Here is a 24202-nt window from a genome sequence, read left to right as displayed (position 1 = left end):
GTCCACAATAAGAGCATGACCAAAGTTCTCATGTTGTGTAAACAACATCAAATTAGTTTGGCATTGGCCAGAGTTTATAACTTGATTCTTTTTGAGAGGAGACCATCTCTAGAATCACTCAGCTTCCTAAGAATGAAGTTGCATAACACTGGTCTTTCCTAGAGCTCCTTGAATGGGGTTTCTCTTGTGAGTTCTGTGGAAGTTGTCCTTTAGAAGTTGGAGGATGTCTTAGTCCATTTTGTACTGCTATAACAGACTAAGACTTGATAATTTATGAAAAACAGATTTATTTTTTACACTTCTGGAGGTTGGAAAGTCCCAGATTGATGAGGTTGCATATGGTGAGGGCCTTTTTGCTGTGCTATCTCATGATGGAAGACAGAGGGTAAGAGAGAGGGAGGGAGAGAGAGAGAGAGAGAAAGGAAGGGAGCTGAACTCATTCTTTTATCAGAAACCCATTCCCACAGTAACTAATCTACTCCAGCAATAATAGCTTTAACCCAATCACCTCTTAAAGGTATCCTACCTCTTAACATTGTTACATTGCAGACTAAGTTTCCAACACATGAATTTTGGAGGACATATTCAAACCATGGCATAGGGTCTTAAATAGGGGATTTTTCAGCGTAGAAAATAACCGCCCCAATCCCCGTTTGATATTTCTTAGAACAAGATTTTGTTGACCGGGCGCAGCGGCTCATGCCTGTAATCCCAGCACTTTGGGAGGCCGAGGCGGGTAGATTACGAGGTCAGGAGCTCAAGACCAGCCTGGCCAATATGGTGAAACCCTGTCTCTGCTAAAAATACAAAAATTAGCCAGGTATGGTGGTGGGCACCTGCAATCCTAGCTACTCGGGAGGCTGAGGCAGAGAATTGCTTGAACCCAGGAGACGGAGGTTGCAGTGAGCCAAGATCACGCTACTGCACTCCACCCTGGGTGACAGAGTGAGACTCCATCTCAAAAAAAAAAAAAAAAAGGATTTTGTTGCATTTGTTGTTTCCTATAATAGATGGGATTTTTGTTTGTTTGTTTGTTTTTTTAGTATATCTTTAATGGTGAAGCTGTACCAAGGTGTTCACCACTGGGGCTAGATTCTCCATGTAGTACTGGGTATTTACATGAACAAACCCCCTCTACTTCTCAGTTTTGTGTTGTCCTCAGGCTTATATTTAAAAATTTTGTTTGTTTATGTTTAAATTAGATAAACATTGTCTTTTGAGTTATCAAGGATACTGCCTGAACAACTGAAGTACCTCTCATTTATCCCAACTCAATGTTATTTGGGGCTGTGGCGTTACCCTGGCTAGTCTATTTCGGTTGGAAAGAAAATCTTAGAAAAATAAATAAATGGAAATGGTTGGGGGACGGTGTCAAGACAATAAGCAAATTGTACACAAGTTTTGGGCAGAATTCAGTGACACAACAAACAAAACCTCAAAAGTAATCTTAGGCAGAACATGTATTTAGATGTTTTATCTTATCTTCTCAGTTTTCTATTATAGAATCTGGTAGTCTGGGTCTTGAAAATGATGACACATTTTTGCTAAAATTATTTACCCTTTTTCTCATCTATTTGAATATCTCGGAGTTAAGGCCACACTATAGCTTTATGTTCCAAATGTCAGATCCTTGTGGCTGGGACCAGGTCTGGGTGGCTAACAGCTTTCTTTTCAGCTAGCTTTTCAGACCAGTTCCTTCCCAGCTTTCTTTTCATCCCAGTTTTAATAGAGCGATGGCACTGAGTACTTGGGCTTTTCAACTTAGCCTTAAGGGCCTCGGGCCTTAGAATTTAAATCTCTAGTGAGCTTCTCACTACAGCTCTAATGAGATAATCCAGAACCACCTGAGGCCACATCCTACCTTATGGACTGCTGATGGGAAGGGCCCATCAGCTGGCCAGGCCAGGGGATGCTGCACTGGCACCTTCCCATGTTTTACAAAGCTGATCGGTGTGACAAAGTTCTAATTAGCATTTAACTGCTTATAGTTGAACTATCTGATAAGCTGACAGTGTGTAAATATGCACAGGCAGCATTTAGGGAAGGATTTAGATTATTTGAAACTGTTGTAAAAATCCACCTTGTACCTTAGAAAGACTTAGAAATGTGAACTCTATTTTGTGTTCCCATGACACTGGCCTTTTCTCTCCCCATGCGTCTAACAATGGAATTTTGTTGGTAAAATAAATGAAAGTGACTCATCTTGAGCTTTCCATTCTACTGATATTTTTTTTTTTTTTTTTTGGAGACAGGATCTTGGCTCACTGCAACCTTGGCCCCACCAGGCTCAAGTGTCCTTCCACCTCAGCCTCCTGAATAGCTGGGACTATAGGCACACCACCGTGCCCCCTCTTTTTTTTTTTTTTTTTTTTTTTTTTTTTTTTTTTTTTAGTAGAGACAGGGTCTCGTCATGTTGCCAGGCTGGTCTCAAACTCCTGAGCTCAAGTCATCCACCTGCTTTGGCTGCCCAAAATATTGGGATTACAGGCATGAGACACTGAGTCCAGCGTACTATGCCTTCTTATGAGGGCCAGGTCCCACATTCACTGCCACCAGGACTGGCCGTGTGGACTCAGCCCAGGGAGTGCATATGGTACCTAGACTGTTCCTCTGCTCTCCAGCCGTATCTGCAATAGGCCTTTGGGCCACTTGAGCACGAATTACCTTTTATTTATTTGTTTTTGAATTTAAACTTCTTATCTAGTGAAGAATAGTATAACCATTCTCTACTCAATTTTAGCTCTTGTAAGGTAGCTCAAATCTTTAGATATATTTACTCTGCAGTAATTTTGAGTCTTTATGTAATGTATTCACAGCTAACTCTTAGTTAGACTGTGGGCTTCTAGAGGTGTCAAAGATGGGAAAAGGAACCTCCTGCCAATTCCTAAATTCTGGAAAGAGAGTCTTTCTGTTTGGGTATTGCTTCTGTTGTAATGGTTTGTCTGTCTGTGCCTTTTTGTCCCTTGATTGGATATTCTAAAGAAAATCCAAAGAATCCCCTGGTTTTTGTGCTGAAGGCAGGGACAAAAAAAGAGGAGAAGAAAAACAGGCAGTGTTTTGAGGGTTCCTTGAGGGAAGATTGGTAGCCGCTGGAAGGTGAGGTCTGTCAGAAATGCTGAGGCCAGCATGATCCTTGGGCAAGAGGGGCCTCATGCGAGGGACCCTTGGAAGCTGCCTGGCAGCTGATGCTGAATTTAGCATTGAGCTGGAACCCACTTAAAGGTGATGAGCACTGTCATCTCTCGCCACCTCGTTGTCTCTCCTCTTTCCTCCCCATCCCCACCACCCAGGTACCAAGGCTAAGAGGGGTTAGAATGTGAAAAGGAAGGGAGAGAATGGACACAGCTCTGGCAAGACTGATCAGAAACTGAAGCTGAGACACTCAGCAGTGGTGCAGGGGGAAGGGAAGCAAAGTTAAAGGGTTGATTTGTCCTTTCCTCACTCTAGGGACATCCGCGGCTCTTGCGGCCTTCTCTGTGGGTTTATGACTTGGGACCTCCCTCCATGCAGGCGAGGAGGACATTGTTCATGTCTTGTAGCTGGAGCGCTTCCTCCATTCCTCACCGCATGCTCATAGGCCAAGTCTACACAGCACAAGGTAGGTGTTAAGGAAATATCTGGACAGAAAAAAACACATTTATAAGCAACAATGACATTGAAAGGAAAAGTAAATGAGAATGTCCTTTCTTCCTTTATCAAACAGAAGTATTTGCCTAGAGAATAGGTTTCAGTTTTCTTTCCAAAGATTTCAGAAAAAGAATCATGACATAGAAATGCTCTGTGAAATTTATGAAAGGAGGTTATAATTCATACAAAACATACTGATTTCAACTCCTTCTAAATTTCTGAAAGAATGGTTGAAAGAATGAGATTTACTCAAGAAGTAAAGTAAACCTAAAATTCTAGCTTAAAATAGGAAAAGAATAGATATGTCAGTAACACTGAAATGAGGAAAACAGTTCCTGATCCTCATTCCTTACAAAGAAAGGAACGTAGGCCAGTTGCGGTGGCTCATGCCTGTAATCCCAGCCCTTTGGGAAGCTGAGGCAGGTAGATCACTTGAGTCCAGGAGTTTGAGACCAGCCTAAGCAACATAGTGAGACCCCGTCTCTACAAAAAATTAAATAAAAAGTATTAGCCATGCGTGGTGGTGTGCACCTGTAGTCCCAGCTACTCAGGAGGCTGAGGTGGAAGAATCGCTTTAGCCCAGGAGGTTGAGGCTGCAGCAAGCCATAATTGCACCACTGTACTCCTGCCTGGGTGATAGAGTGAGACCCTGTCTCTCTTAAAAAAAGGGAGGTGCAAAATGCATCACTATTCCACTCAGCCCTTTCTTTTGAAACTGCTGAAACCATAGACTATATGACTTTTGAATGAATGTACTTATTATAAAGACATTCAATACAAAGAACATTTTAAAAAGAAAGGCATAAAAATATGGGTATGGGAAAATATCTTCCTATGGTATACTCAAGAAAGATCTAGGATCACCTCTTATCATAGACTTCCCCTGAAATTGTGCTCAGGTGCTCTCAGGCCACCGAGAGAGCCATTCTGTCACCCGCCTCAGAGTGACTGAGGTGCAGCACTGTTCTGCGATATATCCAGCTTGCATAAGGATGCCCACTTGCATAAGGAAGCAGACCTTTCCTTTCAATGGGAACCTCTGTTATGATAAACATTTATGCTAGAGAGGTTTCTGCTGCAGGAAATGTAATATTATTTATATTATTTATATTATTTATATTATCCTTAAATAAACAAAGGCAAAATAAATACAAACAATACATCTCACTCTGTGTCTTAGAAAAAGTGAGAATGGGATGGGCACGGTGGCTCACGCCTGTATTTCCAGCACTTTGGGAAGCTGAGGCGGGTGGATCACAAGGTCAGGAGTTCAAAACCAGCCTGGCCAAGATGGTGAAACCTCGTGTGTACTAAAAATACAAAAATTAGCTGGGTGTGGTGGCGGGCGCGTGTAATCCCAGCTACTAGGGAGGCTGAGGCAGAGAATTGCTTGCACCCGGGAGGTGGAGGTTGCAGTGAGCCAAGATTGCGCCACTGCACTCCAGCCTGGACGACAGAGCGAGTCTTCATCTCGAAAAAAAAAAAAAGAAAAGGCGAGAATGACTTGGGATTAGTTTGTAACCATAACTTTCTGTCTGGTCTCATAGAGATAAAGGTCATGAAGGCAATATCCCCTCCCCTTTGTTCAAAAAGTTCCAAAGATTGGTTCCTGTTGTTGGCAAAAACAGAGTGACCTGTGTCTAGAAGTCTCAGGTAAGTTAAATGGTGTCTTCCCATTGAGTCCCACGGCTGGCATTGTACAACTTTGTCTTTTTTCTCTCTGTCCTTTCCTTTATTTATCAGTTGCCAATGTCCTAGATCCTGCCTCCCATGCAAACAGTGTCTACACTGGCGTCTATTTTATTAACCATCACCTTGGATCCATGTTAAAGTTATTCAGAGATTATTAGTGGTTCAGAAAGTGGTTTCTCCTGTTTGAGTTTTTAAAAACTGTATTTGGTTTTGGCCTGACTGTGTTTCAGTTGAGTCTCTGCTGCGTGCCTGGCCTGCTCTGATAAGTGTAGTTTAGTGCAAGGTCTCAGTCCTGCTCTGTCTTTGGGAGCTGCCTGACTTCCCTAAAGTTCAGTCACCTTCAACTACTGTCTAGGAATAATGGTGTTTGTTGACAATCTATGTCAAAGAGCAGTTGTGAAAAATGTGTGAGCCACTTACATAGCACTTTGGGCACCTTGCAAGAGAGGTACCATGCAAATACAAGCGAGCATTCATGTGGAACCAGTCTCTGAGAACTCAGGCCTTCCAGATAATTTTCTCTCTCCATTGAGGGAAGGGGAGCTTGGCAGGTGGGTGAAAGAGATGGTTTCTGGATTGCTTATTTTAGACCACATGTATGTGCTGTTGTGCAAATGGGTGCAGCTCCAGCTGTGGCTTCCTCGGTCTCTCTGCCTTAGTCATGGAAAACCTCAGAGAGGAAGTTTTAGGAAGACTTTCAGAGATGAAGGTGCAAAGGCGTGCAAGGTAGAAGAGTAGTGCTGGGAATATGAGGAGTAACTAAAAAGCAGGGGGAGAGGAGATAGGAACAATGCCTACATGGTATAAAGGAAACTTAGGAGGAGGAATTTCCAGGTCTTTCCAGGAAGCTGATCTGGGAGGAAGGCTCCTTCCGACTTCGTTGCTGTAAACATTAGTATTATCCCTTTGAGTGACTGTGAGAAGGAAAACCTCAATTCAAAAATATAGGCAGGTGTTGTGGCAAGTTTATAATATATTCCAGACAGTTTTTTTTTAACTTGGAGAATGATAGTCCTTGTGGGAAGTGAGTAATCATAAAATAAAAATGCAAACCTGACCCATACAGTCTTGAACATACTTAACCCTTAGAAGGATTCTAATTAATCAGACAAACAAATATCTAAGCAACCTAATGCAGAGGCTGCTTGTAGACTTGTTTGGTAAAAATGACTATAACAAAAATTAAGGATAACAAAAACATACAAAGTGGAATTGGCCTTTCACTTTGCCTTAAGGCTGGTCCTGATGAATAAATGATGAAAGAGAAAGGAGACAAAGATGGATTAACAGAGTATGACAAAGAGCTGAACGTTGTTGTGGACCTGAATGCCGTGGCAGGGAGCACACCGGCCTCTTCACTCTCATGCCAGTTTGGTTAATTCCCAGGCCCAAGTTGTAGGTCTGTCCTGAGAAGGTCCTATTCTGGTCCTGTGCCATCTCTAGACGAGAGAAACTAGGAAAAACTAGAAAATTTTCCATGTAAAGACAAAAATAGCCATCTGGAATCAGAAGAGCTGTGTTTGTATCCCAACTTCACCATTGATTAGCTAGGGTAACTGACACTTTTTTTTTTTTTTGAGATAGAGTCTTGCGCTGTCACCCAGGCTGGAGTGCAGTGGCGTGGTCTCAGCTCACTGCAATCTCCACCTCCCAGGTTTGAACAATTCTTCTGCCTCAGCCTCCTGAGTAGCTGGGACTACAGGCACGCACCACCACGCCTGGCTAATTTTTGTATTTTTAGTAGAGATTGGGTTTCACCATATTGGCCAGGCTGGTCTTGAACTCCTGACCTCGTGATCCTCCTGCCACGGCCTCTCAAAGTGCTTGGATTACAGGCATGAGCCACTGTGCGCGGCCGACATTTTTTTTTCTTAATCCAAGTCTCATTTTGCACACCTGCAGAAAGCAGATAATTTTTCACCAGCGTAGTTGTAAGGATCAACAAAAAATATGTTTGAAAGAGGTCTGAAATATATTTTTAAAAAATAAAGGAAACAAAACACAAATTTAAGTTTGATTTAGTGATTGGAAGAGCAGGCCAGTATTACCATTGCTTCATGTTTTTTAAGATAGAAAACTAGATGCTATGTATTCAAGGTTCAAAAACTAGGTATAATCAGGAGTCCTTTGGGAGAGAAATCTTCAAGCAGTACATCTTCAAGTATTGATACTACGATTTCATCAAATTTCTGTACTTTTGACACAATGTTAGGTTTGACTCTGGAAAGGCTCCACTGTGTTTTTTCCCAAATCCTCCCAATCCCCAACCATAGTGAAATTGGGCCAAATCATTCCAGGATGAGACACGCTTCCCTGTTACATTAAAGCAAAAATAAGTTTGCCAAGAAAAAGCAGATTTTCACAGAGGGCGTTGTACACGTTCTGGGAAAAGTCGTCTGGCTGGTTTCACCTCAGCTCAATCTTTTAAGTGCAATTTTTGCTTTCAGCCACACCAACTAATATTACATTAACCATTGCCCTAATGCCAGTTCCTCATTTGGCAAAACACACACGTGTGTGCACATGCGCGCACACACACGGGTCACTGGAAAATTATAAATTGACATAACTTCCTAGATGGCCTGAGGACTTCAAAGAATTAGAGAAGCATCAATCAGATAAATACGTGTGTGTTGCCTAGGTTTTAAAATGTTCCAGTCATGTGTAAATCACTGGCAAGACAGTTTTTTTTTTTTTTTCCAAGAGTATGCAGTAAAGGAAGCTTCAACAGGCTGGAAAATACAATGCATGTCTTTCTGTCATTTTTTGTTTTTATTTTTTGCTGCTTCCTGTCACCCTGGAGGTGGTCACAGTCTGGTCTCCCAGTACATACAAGGCGCTGGGTAAAGGGAGAAGCCGCGAGACAGAAGCCTGCATAATTTCTGCCTGCGAGGGAAGAACACTGGGGCCATTAGCAACGGCAGCAGGTTTTTCTCCCGCATCCCACGCTCTGCGCCTGAATGCCGTGCCCGTGAACACAGACTTCAGCACACCTTGTCATCAGAGGAGCTTCCTGGAAGCCAGCCAGCTGCAAGGCCCGAGGTCAAGCAATCACCATGACTATCAGCCACAAGGAGAACCTTGAGGGACCCAAGGAGGTGACGGCAGGTGGAGAGGCAGTTAGTGAATTCCGCAGAGCCGCTTGCTCGCTGCTGTGGCCTCGTCAGTGGCAGCGGCGGCTGTGACTGCCGGGAAGGTTTTATCTACTGATCAACACAGTGTGCCAGAGGGCTGATGGGATAGCCCGCTTTGGCAGAAGCTTCCAGTGGTAGCCTGCAACTAGACGGCAGAAGGAAAGGGGGAAAAAAAAATCTAACAACAAACCAGCGGGATCAGTTCCTCAGAGCACAAACACCAGTTTCAGGCCGTCCCCACTCCATCCCCGGCTCTTGCAGCCACGGCTGCCTGCTTGCATTAATTACTTCTCATTCCCAGCCGCATTTATTCCAAACTACCTTTAGGGTTCAAAGTGCAGGAACAAAATGACTTGGGTTGAAAGCAATTAACAAACAGGTTATTTTAAATTAACACACACTTTTACCAGCTGGCCCAAAGAGCTTGTACATGTCATGGCAGAGGTAGCAATGCCAGATATCGCATGAAAGGAGAAATGGGTTTTTCTTTTTCTCTTTTTTTTGGGGGGACAAGATCTCTGTCACCAGGCTGGAATGCAGTGTCGTGATCATGGCTCATTGCAGCCGCGAATTCCTGGGTTTAAGCCATCCTCCTGTCTTAGCCTTCAGAATAGCCGAGACTAAAGATTTAATGTCATTTCGCCTGGCTAATTTTTTTAAAATTATTTTTTGTAGAGACAGAGTCTCCCGCTGTTGCCCAGGCTGGTCTCAAACTCTTGTTCTCCAGCAACCCTCCTGCCTCGGCCTCCCAATGTGCTGGGATTGCAGGCATGAGCCACCCTGATCAGCTGTGGGTTTTTCTTCTTAACTTTTTTTCTAGTGACATGCACTAATCGTATTTTGGGATTTAAACATTTTGTTAAGACATATTTACCAGAGAGCTAAACCAAAGGAAATAATACCACTCTAATCATATACAGATTTCTCTCCGGTATTTATTATCTCTCATCTTTATTTATATAAAAAGTATGTTAGAGCTTCTGTAAATGCATTATAAATTTTATGTCCGTTTTTCTGTTTCACTTTGAATTTTTCTACCATTTCTATTTTAGTTGTTGTCATTTTGGGGAGATATTTCTTTTTCCCTTGTGTTATAGATATATATGGCTTTTCCTATCTTGTAAGTGGGTACTTTTTCTATGTTGTACTGTATACAGTGAGAATTTAACAATATTGAATGAAGAAATGAATTGCCTCACAGAATTTAAAATAGGTAACTACAAGAGAAAATGCCAGAAATTTGTACCAAATTTCTATAAGGTAATAATATGCTACCTATTGCTTCATAAAGGATTCTCCATAATAGGTTACTCAACTGTATCTAACATTATTTGATTTACGTGCAACTTTTCAGGAACACTTAACAACATAAAGTAGGAGAATGCCCATTGGGTGATTGTGGGTGGTAATGACACCTGGGGAGTAGTGATGTTTTAGTGTCATTTATAGCCACAGTAAATGCATATTGATTAAAATATATGCACATGTGCAACCTGCTCTTCAATCTATTATTTAGATACACTAAGGGGAGGTGCTGCTCTTTGGGTTTTGTTTAGTGCCTGGAGCACTGTTGGTAGCATTAAAAGTTAAGGACAGCAATGTCTGTTTAGCATGTGATACAAAGTTTTCTTTTTACAAACCATTGAACAGAAATGGCAAGACATGACATGGCAGATAAAATGTGCAGAGAGATTGTAGTATCTTTAGCCTGGTGAAAACAAGTTTAGTATATTTGGTCAGTTTTTTTCATTGAAATTTTATCTCTCAATACTGGTCAGTACTGAGAGAAAAGGCCCACAAGGTCATATGTTAAGGCAAATTAAACAGGCACCTTTGAAGAATCAATTAACCTCGAGGGTCCAAACTACTAGGCTATAAGGAAAGTAAAATATTAAAAAATACCACATAATAAGATATCAAGACTGACCACAACCAAACTGTTAAACTGAGGTATCATGAATTTACTATTAGCCAATTTTATTTTATTTTATTTTACTTTATTTTGTTTTTTGAGATTCAGTCTCGCTCTGTCGCCCAGGCTGGAGTGCAGTGGTGCAATCTTGGCTCACTGCAACCTCCACCTCCTGGGTTCAAGCAATTCTCGTGCCTCAGCCTCCTGAGTAGCTGGGAATACAGGCATCCGCCACCATGCCCCAGTAATTTTTGTATTTTTTTTTAGTAGAGATGAGGTTTAACCATGTTGGCCAGGCTGGTCTCAAACTTCTGCCCTCAAGTGATCCGCCCACCTTGGCCTCCCAAAGTGCTGGGATTACAGGTGTGAGCCACTGCACCCGGCCTATTAACCAATTTTAAATTTTATTTTACCAGCTGGATTTTCAGTGGGGGAAAGTTAGGCCCTTTGGAAAAATGCACTGGCTCTTTTGATACAAACAATGGCATTGTGGTGGCCAACCTTCTAAGAGAAAGGCTTGCGATAACAAAATCGAGGCTCTTGTAGGGCGATATGGCTGATGGACTATTTGACAAAGAGAAAGCCTTTTACCTGTATGAGCCTCTGCTCCTTCCTCTGTAGGTAAACAGCATACTCCTACAATGAGACTCTCTTCATTCCCTTTAGGTTTAATAGTCTATGATTCTAAATAAGCAACTTTATGCAGAGAAATAATTGTGTTCAACAAAAAGATTGCTAGGTTCACCAGAGAAATGGATGGACAGTCCAAAAATTAGTACAGAGAGTCCTGGAGTAAAAGTTAAGAGACCTGGGACGTGTTTCTGCCTTTGTTTCTGACTGCCCTTCATTTTTCAGCTTAAAATGTAAGATATAGCACAACCTTTATCTCATTTGTCTGTGCTATAAAGACAAATACAATTTTCTATATGGAACAAAACAACCCCCCCACCCCCGAACTGTAGGTTCTTTTGGAAAAATACGCTATAGCAATTTTTATATATATATACACACACACACACACATTATGCAAAAATGATACTTAGGGGTGTGTGTGTGTGTGTGTGTATATATAAATGATACCTAGGTGTGTGTATATATGTATACACACACATTATGCAAAAATGATACCTAGGTTTTGGTCCTATAGGGCACCTGATGTTGTAGTTCTTTGCTTTCAAAACATACCAGATCTCCTTTAGTGGTCCTTTGTTTTCCAGAGCATAATGCTTTCAAAACTTTAAACTTAGTAAAAACAATGTCTTAAAATCAGGTCTTGATTTTTTGTAAGTCACATAAATAAATTTCCAGTCAGTAAAACATGATTGTTTTTCCGTCTTTCAGATAACTAGAAAACAAGTATCCTTATTGAAATACAGCCAAAAATAGAATTTGCCATTAGTATAAAAAGCTTTAGTCAGATTCATTTCAATATTTCCGTTTGTGTGGTGATATTATTAAGCAGCCTCTTAATAACTGAAACATACAAACTAGAATTGTTGTAATACTATGGCTTTCAGAAGGGAATTACATGCTTGTATCCTCCATGCGTGAGATCCCAGCCGACCTCGGAGGTAATCCCGTTCCAGTGCTCCTGACAAAGTGGACAAGGGGAACAAAACAGATAGCAGTGAATGAACAATTCAGCGAGGCTAGCACCCAGTATTACTAGCAGGGAAACAGAGGCAGGAAAAGTCACTTTCTCAAACTACAAGTGAGGGCCAGTTCTACCTCTGAATCTTAGTCTTTCTGACACTGGTATCACTGGCTGTTCCTGATGTCATCATGTTGGAATTGGGAGAGAAGAGTGGAAGTGGGAAAAGGCCAGCACGTGCTCTACCCTCCAGTTGATCCCGCTGCAGGCAGAATCTCCCAATGGGCTTCCAGGGTTTACCAGTTTGCATTGCAGATGGTGTGCTTCCCTCTTTTTTCATCAGCTTCCCTGCTCCACCCTCCCACATCCTCTTCCAGCTGCCATGTGACTTTGAGAAATTAAACACATGACTGCATCCTAGGACGTGTTTGGAAATTCCTGCTGTCCATATTTTCAGCCTCTCTCTCTATTCTGATCAAGCAAGAAATACATCCGAATATCAGCAAATCTACTGTAATCTTCCTAACCGCCCCTTCCTCCCTCTGGGCCCACCATGACTATCCATCTCCAGGAAACTAATAGTCATCACAACTGACCACTTTTTAAAAAAATGTTTTATCATCCAGGGCTTGTTCTTTAAACAACAAGCATAACAACAACATACACTCTACCCTGCTCTAAAGAGGCCACAGTGTGGTGAGTTCCAGGTGTTCTCTATCCAGCCAGGTCCTTGAGGGCTTTATCGTCACATTATCATCACAGGTGTCTTTAGGGAACACTTGGCATGTGCCAGGACACTTGCATTTTCTTGAAGACAACCAATTATTTAATATAAATGTACTCTGCATAAGTGAATCAAGACTTGGAAAAGAAAATGTGGAGCCCCTCTGCCATCTTTGAGTAATATTCCTGTAGTCCTCTTTGTGCAATCTTGGTCCTGCCAAGTTGTGATCCCTAGTGTTGGAGGAGGGAGATGGTGGGGGGTTATTGAATCATGGGGGTCAGTCCCTAATGGTTTAGCACCATCCCCCTTGCTCTTCTTGTGATAGAGCTCCCACAAGATCTGGTTGTTTGAAGGTGTGTAGCACCTCCCCTCCCTCTCTTGCTGCCATGTGAAGATGTGCTTGCTTTCCCTTTACCTTCTGCCATAATTGTAGGTTTCCTGAGGCCTCCCCAGAAGCAGAAGCCTGTGCAGCCTGCAGAGCTGTGAGCCAATTAAACCTCTTTTTAAAATAAATTATCCAGTCTCAGGTAGTATTTATAGCAGTGTGAGAACAAACTAATACAGAAAATTGGTACCAGAGAATTGGGGCATTGCTATAAAGATACCTGAAAATGTGGAAGCAGCTTTGGAACTAGGTAATGGGCAGAGGTTGGAACAGAAGGGCTCAGAAAAAGACAGGGGGATTAGGGAAAGTTTAGAACTTCCTAGAGACTTGTTGAATGGTTGTGACCAAAATGCTCATAGTGATATGGATAGTGAAGTCCAGACTGAGGAGGTCTCAGATGGAGATGAGGAACTTATTGGGAACTGGGGTAAAGATCACTCTTGCTATGCTTTAGCAAAGAGACTAGTGGCACTGCTCTCCTGCTCTAGTGATCTGTGGAACTTCAAACTTGAGAGAGACGATTTAGGGTATCTGGCACAGAAGAAATTTCTAAGCAGCAAAGCATTAAGATGTGGCCTGGCTGCTACAAAAACCTACGCTCACCTGCATAAACAGAGAAATGGTCTGAAACTGGAAGTTATATTTAAAAGGGAAGTAGAGCATAAAAGTTTGGAAAATTGACAGCCTGACCCTGTGGCAGAAAAGAAAAACCCATTTTCTGGGGAGGAATTCAAGCCAGCTGCAGAAGTTTGCATAAGAGGAGCCGAATGATAATAGCCAAGACAATTGGGAAAATGACTCCACGGCATTTGAGTGACCTTCGCAGCAGCCCTGCCCATCACAGTCCTGGAAACCTAGGAGGGAAGAATGGTTTCCTGGGCCAGGCCCAGGGCCCTGCTGCTCTGTGCAGCCTTGGGACATGGCACCCTGCATCGCAGCCACTCCAACTCTAGCCATGGCTAAAAGGGACCAAGGTACAGCTCAGGCCATTGCTTCGGAGGATGCGAGCCCCAAGCCTTGGCAGCTTCCATGTGTATTAAGCCTGTAGGTGTGCAGAGGGCAACAGTTGAGGCTTGGGAGCCTCTGTCTAGATTTCAGAGGATGTGTGGAAATGCCTGGATGTCCAGGCAGAAGTCTGCTACAGGGGTGGAGCCCTTATAGAGAACTTCTACTAGGGCAGCGCTAAGGGGAAATGTGGGGTTGGAACCCCACACAGACTCCCCACTGGGGCGCTGCCTAGTGGAGCTTGGAGAGGAAGGCTACCATCCTCCAGACCCCAGAAAGGTAGATTCACTGGCCGCTTGCACCACATGCCTGGGAAAGTTGCAGGCACTCAATGCCAGCTTTTGAGAGCAACCATGGGAGCTGGAGCCATGCAGAACCACCACAGGGGCTGAGCTGCCCAAGACTTTAGGAGCCCATCCCTTGCATCAGTGTTGCCTGGATGTAATCATGGAGTCAAAGGAGACTGTTTTGGAGCTTCAAGATTTAATAATCACCCTGCTGAGTTTCAGCCTTCCGTGGGATGTGTAGCCGCTTTGTTTCAGCCAATTTCTCCCTTTTGGAATGGGAGCATTTACTCAATTCCTGTACCCCCATTGTATCTTAGAAATAACTAATTTGTTTTTTAATTTACAGGCTCATAGGTAGAAGGGACTTGCCTTGTCTCAGATGAGATTTTGGACTTGGACTTTTGAGTTAATGCTGGAATGAGTTAAGATTTGGGGGGACTGTTGGAAAGGCATAATTGTGTTTTGAAATGTGAGAAGGGGCCAGGTGTGGTGGCTCATGCCTGTAATCCCAGCACTTTGGGAGGCCGAGGCGGCAGGATGATGAGGTCAGGAGATTGAGATCATCCTGGCCAACATGGTGAACCCCGTGTCTACCAAAAATACAACAATTAGCTGAGCATGGTGGCGTGCACCTGTAGTCCCAGCTACCCGGGAGGCTGAGGCAGGAGAATCACTTGAACCTGGGAGGCGGAGGTTGCAGCGAGCTGAGATCGCACCACTGCACTCCAGCCTGGTGACAGAGTGAGACTCTGTCTCCCTGCCCCCTACCCCCCCCAAAAAAAAGAAATGTGAGAAGGACATGATATTTTGAAGGGGCCAGGTGGAATAATATAGTCTGGGACTCTGTGTCCCCACCCAAATCTCCTGTCAAGTTGTGATCCCCAGTATTGGAGGAGGGGCCTGGTAGGAGGTTACTGAATCACGGGGGTGGTTCCTCATGGTTTAGCACCATCCTCCTCACTGTGCTGTAATAGAGCCCTCCTGAGCTCTGTTGGTTGAAAGTGTGTTGTACTGGCCAGGCACAGTGGCTCACACCTGTAATCCCAGCACCTTGGGAGGCAGAGGCAGGCAAATCACAAGGTCAGGAGATTGAGACCATCCTGGCTAACATGGTGAAACCCCATCTCTACTAAAAATACAAAAAATTAGCTGGGCATGGTGGTGGGTGCCTGTAGTCCCAGCTACTTGGGAGGCTGAGACAGGAGAATGGATGGCAAGAACCTGGGAGGCAGAGCGTGCAGTGAGCTGAGATCACGCCACTGTACTCCAGCCTGGGCGACAGAGCAAGACTCCATCTCAAAAAAAAAAAAAAAAAAAAAAGACAGTGTGTTTTACCTCACCCACCCCTCCCGCCAGCCAAGTGAAGATGTGCTTGCTTCCTCTTCACCTTCTGCTATGATGGTAAGTTTCCTGAGGCCTCCCCAAAAGCAGAAGCCTATATAGTGTGCAGAAGTGTAAGTCAATTAAACCTTTTTTTAATAAATTACCCAGTCTCAGGTAGTTCTTTATAGCAGTGTGAGAATGGACTAATACACTTGGCCAGGGTGTTTCAAATTATTTACTCACTTATCATCTAGTTGTTATATTTTAGGGGACTCCTATGGGCAAAGAATTGTTAGACCTCTAAGCAGAGGCAATGATGGGATGACTTTATAAAAAGTAGAATTATAAAGCTCTAGCTCTAGTTCACAATTAGTAGTTCTTTTTTTTTTTGCTCTTGTGGCCCAGCTGGAGTGCAATGGCTTGATCTTGGCTCACTGCAACCTCCGCCTCCCGGGTTCAAGCAATTCTCCTGCCTCAGCTTCCCAAGTAGCTGGGATTATAGGCACCCGCCACCACTCCTGGCTAATTTTTGTATTTTTAGTACAGACAGGGTTTCACCATGTTGGCCAGGCTGGTCTCAAACTCCTGACCTTAGTTGATCCACCTGCCTTGGTCTCTCAAAGTGCTGGGATTACAGGCGCGAGCCACCGTGCCCGGCCATCGCAGTTAGTAGTTCTAAACATTCTCCAGTATCAGTAGGTGGTTCTGGGATTAGAAAATACAAGATTGAAAATTACTAATACTTTGTGCTAGAAATGTCAACTATGAAATTAATTTGGCTGGTATTAAAAACATTGATGCTAATTGTAGGCTCAGTAGGCACAATAAGTTATATTAGCACAAGCTATACTATTGTGTAATTATTATTTACTTATAATGTCATTATCCTATCAATTTGCCAGAATTTTGTCTGTTCGGCAATTATTTTTTTCCTATTGTTCATCCCTAATGATATAGAAGCTGAACAGTAAACACAATGATGTGTTTGAGTGGCATAAATAACTGATGAGGTGAAAAAAAAAAACAACCTTCTATCATTTAGAATGGTGGTTTTTGTGTTCTAGACTTTAAAAATGTTACAAACAGCAACTTTGAAAGGCCACAAACAGAATTTTATAATTATAGGGTTTTGAAACTGTGTTTGGAGAATAGTTGCTTTTAGGCCTTGGCTGAAGTACCGCACCATGGGAGTGCCCAGTGACATTGCTAGTTTTGAGCATTCTGAGACTCCAACAGTGTGGCAGATTCTTTTGTTCAGATGTGTATGGACTTGAAGGCGCACATAGACTATTTTTCTAGAAGGGGCTAAAGTTTTCAACCATAAAGTAGAGGGAGTAGTGGTTTCTCTTTAATGATTTTTATATCTATGAAGGGTAAAATTAAAAGGAACCTTAAAGATTGCCAATCTCTAATCTGGCATTTCTGAAATTTGATAACTATTTAATAAGTATCAAATACACTTTTTTTTTTTTTTGAGATGGAATCTCGCTGTGTCACCCAGGCTGGAGTGCAGTGGCACGATCTCAGCTCGCTGCAACCTGTCCCTCCCAGGTTCAACAAATTCTCATGCGTCAGCCTCCCGAGTAGCTGGGATTACAGGCACGTGCCACCATGATGGCTAATTTTTGTATTTTTAATAGAGATGGGGTTTCACCATGTTGGGCAGGCTGGTCTCGAACTCCTGACCTCAAGTGATCCACTTGTCTCAGCCTCCCCAAATGCTGGGATTACAGGCATGAGCCACCACGCACAGCCTCAAATACATTTTGGTAGTAGAGTTCTGAAAGTAAATGGTTTTATTTTCATGGCAATAAATAGATAACAAAATAATTTATAAAACTATTTCTATGATTTCCTACATGCAAAGCTCCATCTACTTACCTACTATCTACCTATTGAATTGGATTTAAAGTCAGCTCTCACTTTTTGATGCAGAATGGATTGTCCATCCACTCTTCCATATGCAGGCTCTGCTGGGGCAGGGTGACATGTGTCTGTAATCCCACCTACTCCAGAGGCTGAGGTGGGAGGATTGCTTGAGCCCAGGAGTTTGAGGCTATAGTGGAGCCATGATCTTGCCACTGCTATGCAGCCTGGGTGACAGAGCAAGACTTTGTCTCTTAAAAAATAAAATAAAATAAAATAAATGAAATAAAAAGCAGTCCCTATTCTTTATTCCTTTGCCTCCACTAAGTCAGTGAGGGTTTCAACTCCAACAGTAGTACTCAAGGTTGGGTTCAGAAAGGTTGCCTGCTGGGGTTTCATTATAAAACTGCCTCTCTGAATAGGGCTGCCATAGATAAATATGGAATACATTCTTTTTGCAAGATGGGGAAAAAAGCATTTATTTGAAAAATGGAGATCTATTTATTATCTATTATTTATACCTACCTCAAAGTTAATAGAATATTTTATTTCTTAAGTCTATCAGATTTATATTTACACATATATTACATATGTATGTAAACTTAAGGCAAAGTTTCATTAAGGAGCTTGGGAATTCCTTTTTAAATTTTAAATGCAGTAAAATTTATTTATTAAAACTTGTTGCTTAAATTGCTTAAACAATACATCACTCTTACCAAACCTGAAAATCAAGTCATCCCTACCTTACTGAGCTAAGTACTAAGAATTGCATTTAAAAAAAATACTGTTTTTTTCTAATGGGACAAAGATCTTCTTTGGTTGAGGGAAAACGAATGATTAGAGATAGAAGGCCTCTTTTATTAGGTTGAGTAAACTCTGTAAGAGTCAAGTTGAAAAATGCCTCATGGTACTGTCACAGTCAAATAGAAATGTATGTTATAAAAGGTCCCCCAAAAGTCTTCTGGTAATGACTGCAAGTTCCCCACTGCATTCTTAGAAACAGGTTCCTGAAACAGTGAACTTCCATGGGATAGAAGCTAAAATGGTCCATAAAATAAAGTGTCTAAATATATAGCTTAAAAATTTGACATACTATTTAAAAAATCTACATTGAGCTTCAGACCGTGGCTTCTGACCCATGAATTTCATGTTTAGAAGCTGAAGGAGAAAGGAGAGTTTTAAGATTTTTATGTTTTAAAGACTGAATTATGGTTTCTTTTTTAAAATCTTAAAATGTCATACAAATTATAAGAAGTACAAGGGCATATTATGATGCCAGTTAATTTATATTTGGCAGTAGTACTATTCTTTGTAATATTAGTACATTTATTAAACTCCCTCTTTAATAAAGAAATTCTTCATATTCTAATTATTCCTTTAAAAGATATATCTGAAAATGGGTATATTTGTTCTTTTTTCTTTCATCTTCTTATTTTGGTGGGTATATTCATTCTTTAAGTTAATAAAGATAGTGAGTGGCAGAAAATTGGACAAACTCTTTACAAAAAATTTTGAAAATTCTAAAACAGACCTAAGCGACATGCCAAACCATGTTTTTTATATTTTTTTCTTGTTGCCCAGGCTGGAGTACAATGGTGCGATCTTGGCTCACTGCAACCTCCGCCTCCCGGCTTCAAGCAGTTCTCCTGTCTCAGCCTCCTAAGTAGCTGGGATTACAGGTGCCTGCCACTGTGCCCGGCTAATTTTTGGTATTTTTAGTAGAGATGGGGTTTCACCATGTTGGCCAGGCTGGTCTCAAACTCCTGACCTCAGGTGATCTGCTCGCCTCGGCCTCCCAAAGTGCTGGGATTACAGGCATAAGCCACTGCGCCTGACCCAAACCATGCTTTTTAATTAAGACCAATAGAGGTGGAAATATCTTGAAATATACTATACACACACTCTTCCTTTTGATGAACTCGTATTTTTTACTGTTACATGTTTTATCTTCTCACCACCCAAGAATGTACATCGTTAACTTACTTCATCAGGCCTCTCCTTATTTAAATTGCCTTTCTTTCCAAAGTTACCTAACTCCATTGTGTGCCTGGTGAAAAATACCACACACCAAACGCCTCCCTTCCTCAGGAAGGGGTGGGTGGGAGGAAGGGCCATGATTTCCTCATGAACCGTCTTCCTAGATCCCCACAGCAGCTTGTTCCTCTGTTACCTCGTTTATAATTATTGCTCATCTTGTACTGAGTTATTTCTGTGTCTGTCTGTCTGGCAGTGTTCTGTTGAAATGAGCTTAAGTAAGTAGGCTTTGGGGTGCGTGTGTGTGTGTGTGTGTGTGTGTGTGTGTGTGTACATATATGGTTGCACCTGTGTTTAGGGGCATCACAGGCTCCTGCCTCTTCTGGAAGAATGGCTTTCAGTGTCCTGGGTCACCTCCTAAAAGTTGACAGCAACTCGTCTCATCTTCACAATGTATTGGCGAATCCTTGGGTCCATTGATCCTGGAGAGCTAGAGAGGCAAGCCCCTGAAATCGAGACTTCTGCTTTCGCTTGGAACAAATTGGCATTGGGATTAGACCATATTCCTCTTCATATACACTGTTCGGCAAGAGCTCCATCCCTTTAGGCATTCTGATCTTACCTGGATTTCTTAAACCTAATTTAGATCAGGGTGTGAGTAGGTAAGAGTGTTTAAAGGAGAGGCCCTTGCGGCTTCCAGAAAGTTTCTATTCCTGGAATGTCAACCTGATGCTTCCTGGTTTCTTGAACGGAGCCTGCTTTTCACTGGGCGGGGGCCGGGGGCAGTGTGTTGGGGTGCAGAGTGCAGGCTCCACTTCTAGGCTCAGCACTGACCAGTGGTGTAACCTTGTTGTCTAACTTCTGTGTCTCAGTTTCCTCATGTGAAATGTGGGTATAATAATGGTATCTGCCTTACAGGGGTGTCTTAAGGATTAAATGATTTAATACGTGTAAAATGTTTAAAACCATGAGTGACATCTTGGAAACCTGTGATTTTAATCTAGTATCATATATTACTATATGGCCCTTTTCTTTACTTTTTTTTTTTTTTTTTTTGAGTCGAGGTTTTGCTCTGTTGCCCAGGCTAGAGTGCAGTGGCATGATCACAGCTCACTGTAACCTTGAACTCTTGGGGTCAAGCAATCCTCCTGCCTCAGTCTTGCAAGGAGCTGGGACTGCAGGTAGGCACCGCCATGCCCTGCTATTTTTTTTTATTTTTTGTAGAGACGAGGTCTCACTATGTTGCCCAGGCTGGTCTTGAACTCCTGAGCTCAAGCAGTCTCCTGCTTTCGCCTCCCAAAGTACTGGGATTACAGACGTGAGCCATTGCACCCAGCCCTATATGGCCTTTTTACTTTCAAAGTCTTTTGAGTTTTCCTTTAAATTCTGAGATTAGTCAAATACTATAAATGACTCAAACCCCTGTGTTTCTCAGAAAAGAGGGTACTAATCAGCCATGAGCTGAGAATGAAGCGTCCCTGGATACCTCTGGGATTGAGGATACTGGAGTCCTCAACCTATTCTAATTTGTGTTCCTATAAAAACACAAACAAATAAGTTTCCACTTCCCTTGTCCCCAAAAGCCATTATTCAGCCTTATTTTGCCTTAGAGAAGTGCCTTCAGAGAAAAACTGAAATGCTTTGGCAACAGCTCATAAACTAAAATCCTTCTTAAATAGTCCAAAGTCAATACTCAAAAAGGTGAGACAAGTGTTATTTATATTCTCATGCATCTTTCTTAGTTGAGTAGTTTGAACAGGAAAAAATATATTTGTGTAGATACATGCATGCATATATGTTTACACACACACACACACACACACACACACACACCTTTAAAAGGGTAAAGTCAATGAGACAATTAGAAGGTGTAAGAAAACAAAATCCCAAGAATAGGTGAACATCACATAGCAACACATGTGAGTAGAGGAAGAAGCTCATTTTGCTACTTTGACAACTTACCAAAACGTTTTATCTTTTATAAATTGAAAAGCGGACTCACTAGGAAAGACTGTGAGTGCCTCTGTTTAACAACCTCACTTTTCAGGTGCTGGGCTACGGGCAGCGAGGCCTGTGAAGGCTCTCAGCTGGCTAGGAGCATCCTGTTAAAGGACTGGAGAACAGGCAAAGTCTGGGTAAGGGCAAGGACAGCTGCCACTCTATGTGGGACCAGAAGACCTGAATCTGTTGTTAGCTGATTTTTTGATCGTGGGCCACTCCAACAGCCTTTCTCTGTGCCTCAGTTTATTCCTTGTAAAATGAAGGCATTGGGTAAATGATCTGAAATGTCCTTTTTACATCTGAGATAGAAATAGGGGAGGAAAGAAAGTTCTACTACATAGACCTTGGCCAAATCCTACAGGGTGAGATAATTGCGTGCATCTTCTCTATGCTGAGAGATTGTTCGGTCAAGTGGGAGAATGACTGAATAAGCCAAGCTATCATTTTTATTTTTACCCTTCAGGGTAGCTGTTGGACGTTTCATATGGGTAAAGGTTTTATCCCAGTGATCCATTTAGTTATGTATTTGCTTCCTTTAGACTTTCTGATTTTTTCTTCATTAGCAATGGATAATAAAGTATTGCTCACATTTCAAATTGTATGTGTCCTTTCATCACACACACACACACACACACACACACACACACACACTATGAAAAGTACCAAAAATGAACCTAGAGATAGAGGGTGACTTTGTTTTTCAGTAAAATTGTTTAAATGCATAATAAAAGGAGACTTCATATAGTATTTTCTGAAATCATCTGCTCTGTTCCTGTAGGAGAATACACAGTCCCCTTACTTCCATTGTTCAGATATTGAAGCTGAAAAGCAAGTTGAAGGATGAAGTTGTCAGTAAATGATAAATAATTAACTCATGGTGACACTCTGCTTCTCGCCTCTTAATGGCTATTATTGTTGCAGGAGGGGCTCATTACTTCCTAGGTGTGGTTTCCCTACCAGGGCCAGATCAGTTTATCAGAGACCAAATAAGCACATGTGATATAATTAGAGATGTGTGATGAGCACAGTACCTACTCTTCCCATTTAAAAGAAAAATACTCACTTTTCCTTGGCAGCCACACCTTCTAATTACTTGCAAATATTTAAGACTCATTATCTTCAAAGTTTGGAGAAAGACAGAAAAAGAGGGGGAAAAAGCCCCGATAGTGGAGACTGCAAGGATCAAAGGTCCTGGCTTACCAGCCGCTGTGCTGTGCTGTCTTCAGGGCAACACTAAAGCCCCACCGCAGAGAGGATGAGTTGACAGCTATTAGGCAATCCAGGTGGCCCAGTGAGCAGGAGGTTGTGTTCAGTCCCATCGCCCAAGACTCGCCCATTCACCAAGCTCCTTTGAAGCACTGTGTTGAGCAAGAGGAGGTGGTGGTGGTGGTGGTGGTGGAGGAGGGATGGATGGAGTTTTCCAGAACTGGAGTGGTTAAACACTGCCACCTCTCTTTCTGTGGCAATCCCTGTGCCAGCTCGCCTTGGTGTAGGCTTGAAACTATTGTCTTTACCTTTGAACCGCCCCATTTCTCCCTGTGAGTCCATTTAGAAGGTCCTCGCTACAGGGTATCACGCCTGCTGAGAAATTTTACTACCATGCCTGGCAAGTCACCCAGGGTTTACATATCTGTTTAAGCACTTTATGTAAATTCTGCAAGCAATATGAGCTACCTACTCCCTCCCTGTTGAGTGCTCAGCCAGTGAGACACAGATCAAGACTCTAAAAAGGGATAGTGTCTGAACACGCATGATGAGAAATCCCTTAAGCATGAGCTCAGTGAATGTCAGTGTGCCATCTCCATATGACATCAGAATTTTGGTTTTAAGATGAGATTGACGTGATGTGCCGAGTCGCCTGTCAAGTCTTTCTCAGATGCACAGTCGAGCTGCTGAGACATTAGTATTTTTTCTTTCTTCTGCTTTTTCTTGTCCCTGCATCTTGAAAGGTTATATTCTTAAGAAGAGGAGCTTTCTACAGTCTTGGGGATATATACATGAATAAGCAAACATTTTTATTCCGTATCCCTGGATGCTACCCTAAGGGTATATATTTACATTCCCTTAACGGAGTTTGGCCTTTGGACGTGGAGACTATGCAAGTTCCTTTGGCCCATTCAACTGTTGAAAATCCTTCTGGAAGTTTCAGGAATGTATTAAGAATACCTCAGATGAAGAAAGAATATACTCTGGTCTGGAGTCAATTCACAGCTGCAGTGTTTCTTTTCTTTTCTTTTTGTTTCTTTGTTCCTCTTCCCTCTCTTCCTCTCTGCCACCCTTCCTTCCTCCCTCCGTCTCTCCCTCTCTTCTTCCCTTCCTTTCAGCACTACCAATATCATGCATCTTTGGCTACTTGTAAACTATTTAAGGAATTATTTTCTCAGTCTTTCAAATAAATTATTTTCATTACTCTTTCCACTTTATATTCTTTAGGGAGAACAATAAAAATGAGAAGACCTCAGACACTTTTGAATTAATTTAGAGAAATATTTCCAAATAGTTTTCTCCACCACAAGAATTTTAGGGTTTGGGGTTGTCCTGGACAAGTGGCCACTTTGCCACTTAATGTTGCAGTCAGCCATATCAAAGGTTTATCAGAAGATGCTTTAATTAACCAAATGGTGCCTCTATTCCTTTGAATTTTTATGTTACTTTAAACGCTTTCAAAGGGACTGGATTTT

General features: G+C 42.2%; 1 long non-coding RNA gene and 1 pseudogene across 2 annotated transcripts in view; both read left to right on the top strand.

Annotated features, from left to right (window-relative positions):
• The window catches only part of LOC124900218 (uncharacterized), a 45268-nt gene extending 33004 nt beyond the window's left edge, over positions 1-12264 (top strand). Inside the window, exons 3-5 of the long non-coding RNA XR_007059909.1 lie at positions 3448-3598; positions 5175-5280; positions 8123-12264. This is a non-coding gene — a long non-coding RNA (uncharacterized LOC124900218). The remainder of the gene's footprint in view (positions 1-3447; positions 3599-5174; positions 5281-8122) is intronic.
• OFCC1 (orofacial cleft 1 candidate 1 (pseudogene)) overlaps positions 1-24202 on the top strand; it is a 506631-nt pseudogene that overhangs the window by 103928 nt on the left and 378501 nt on the right. The gene's annotated exons all lie outside the window — the stretch shown is intronic.

This window comes from Homo sapiens, chromosome 6 (assembly GCF_000001405.40).
Source record: "Homo sapiens chromosome 6, GRCh38.p14 Primary Assembly".
NCBI lineage: Eukaryota > Metazoa > Chordata > Mammalia > Primates > Hominidae > Homo > Homo sapiens.
The sequence above is the reverse complement of the archived record's forward strand: the minus strand, read 5'-3'. Positions and strand labels throughout refer to the sequence as shown.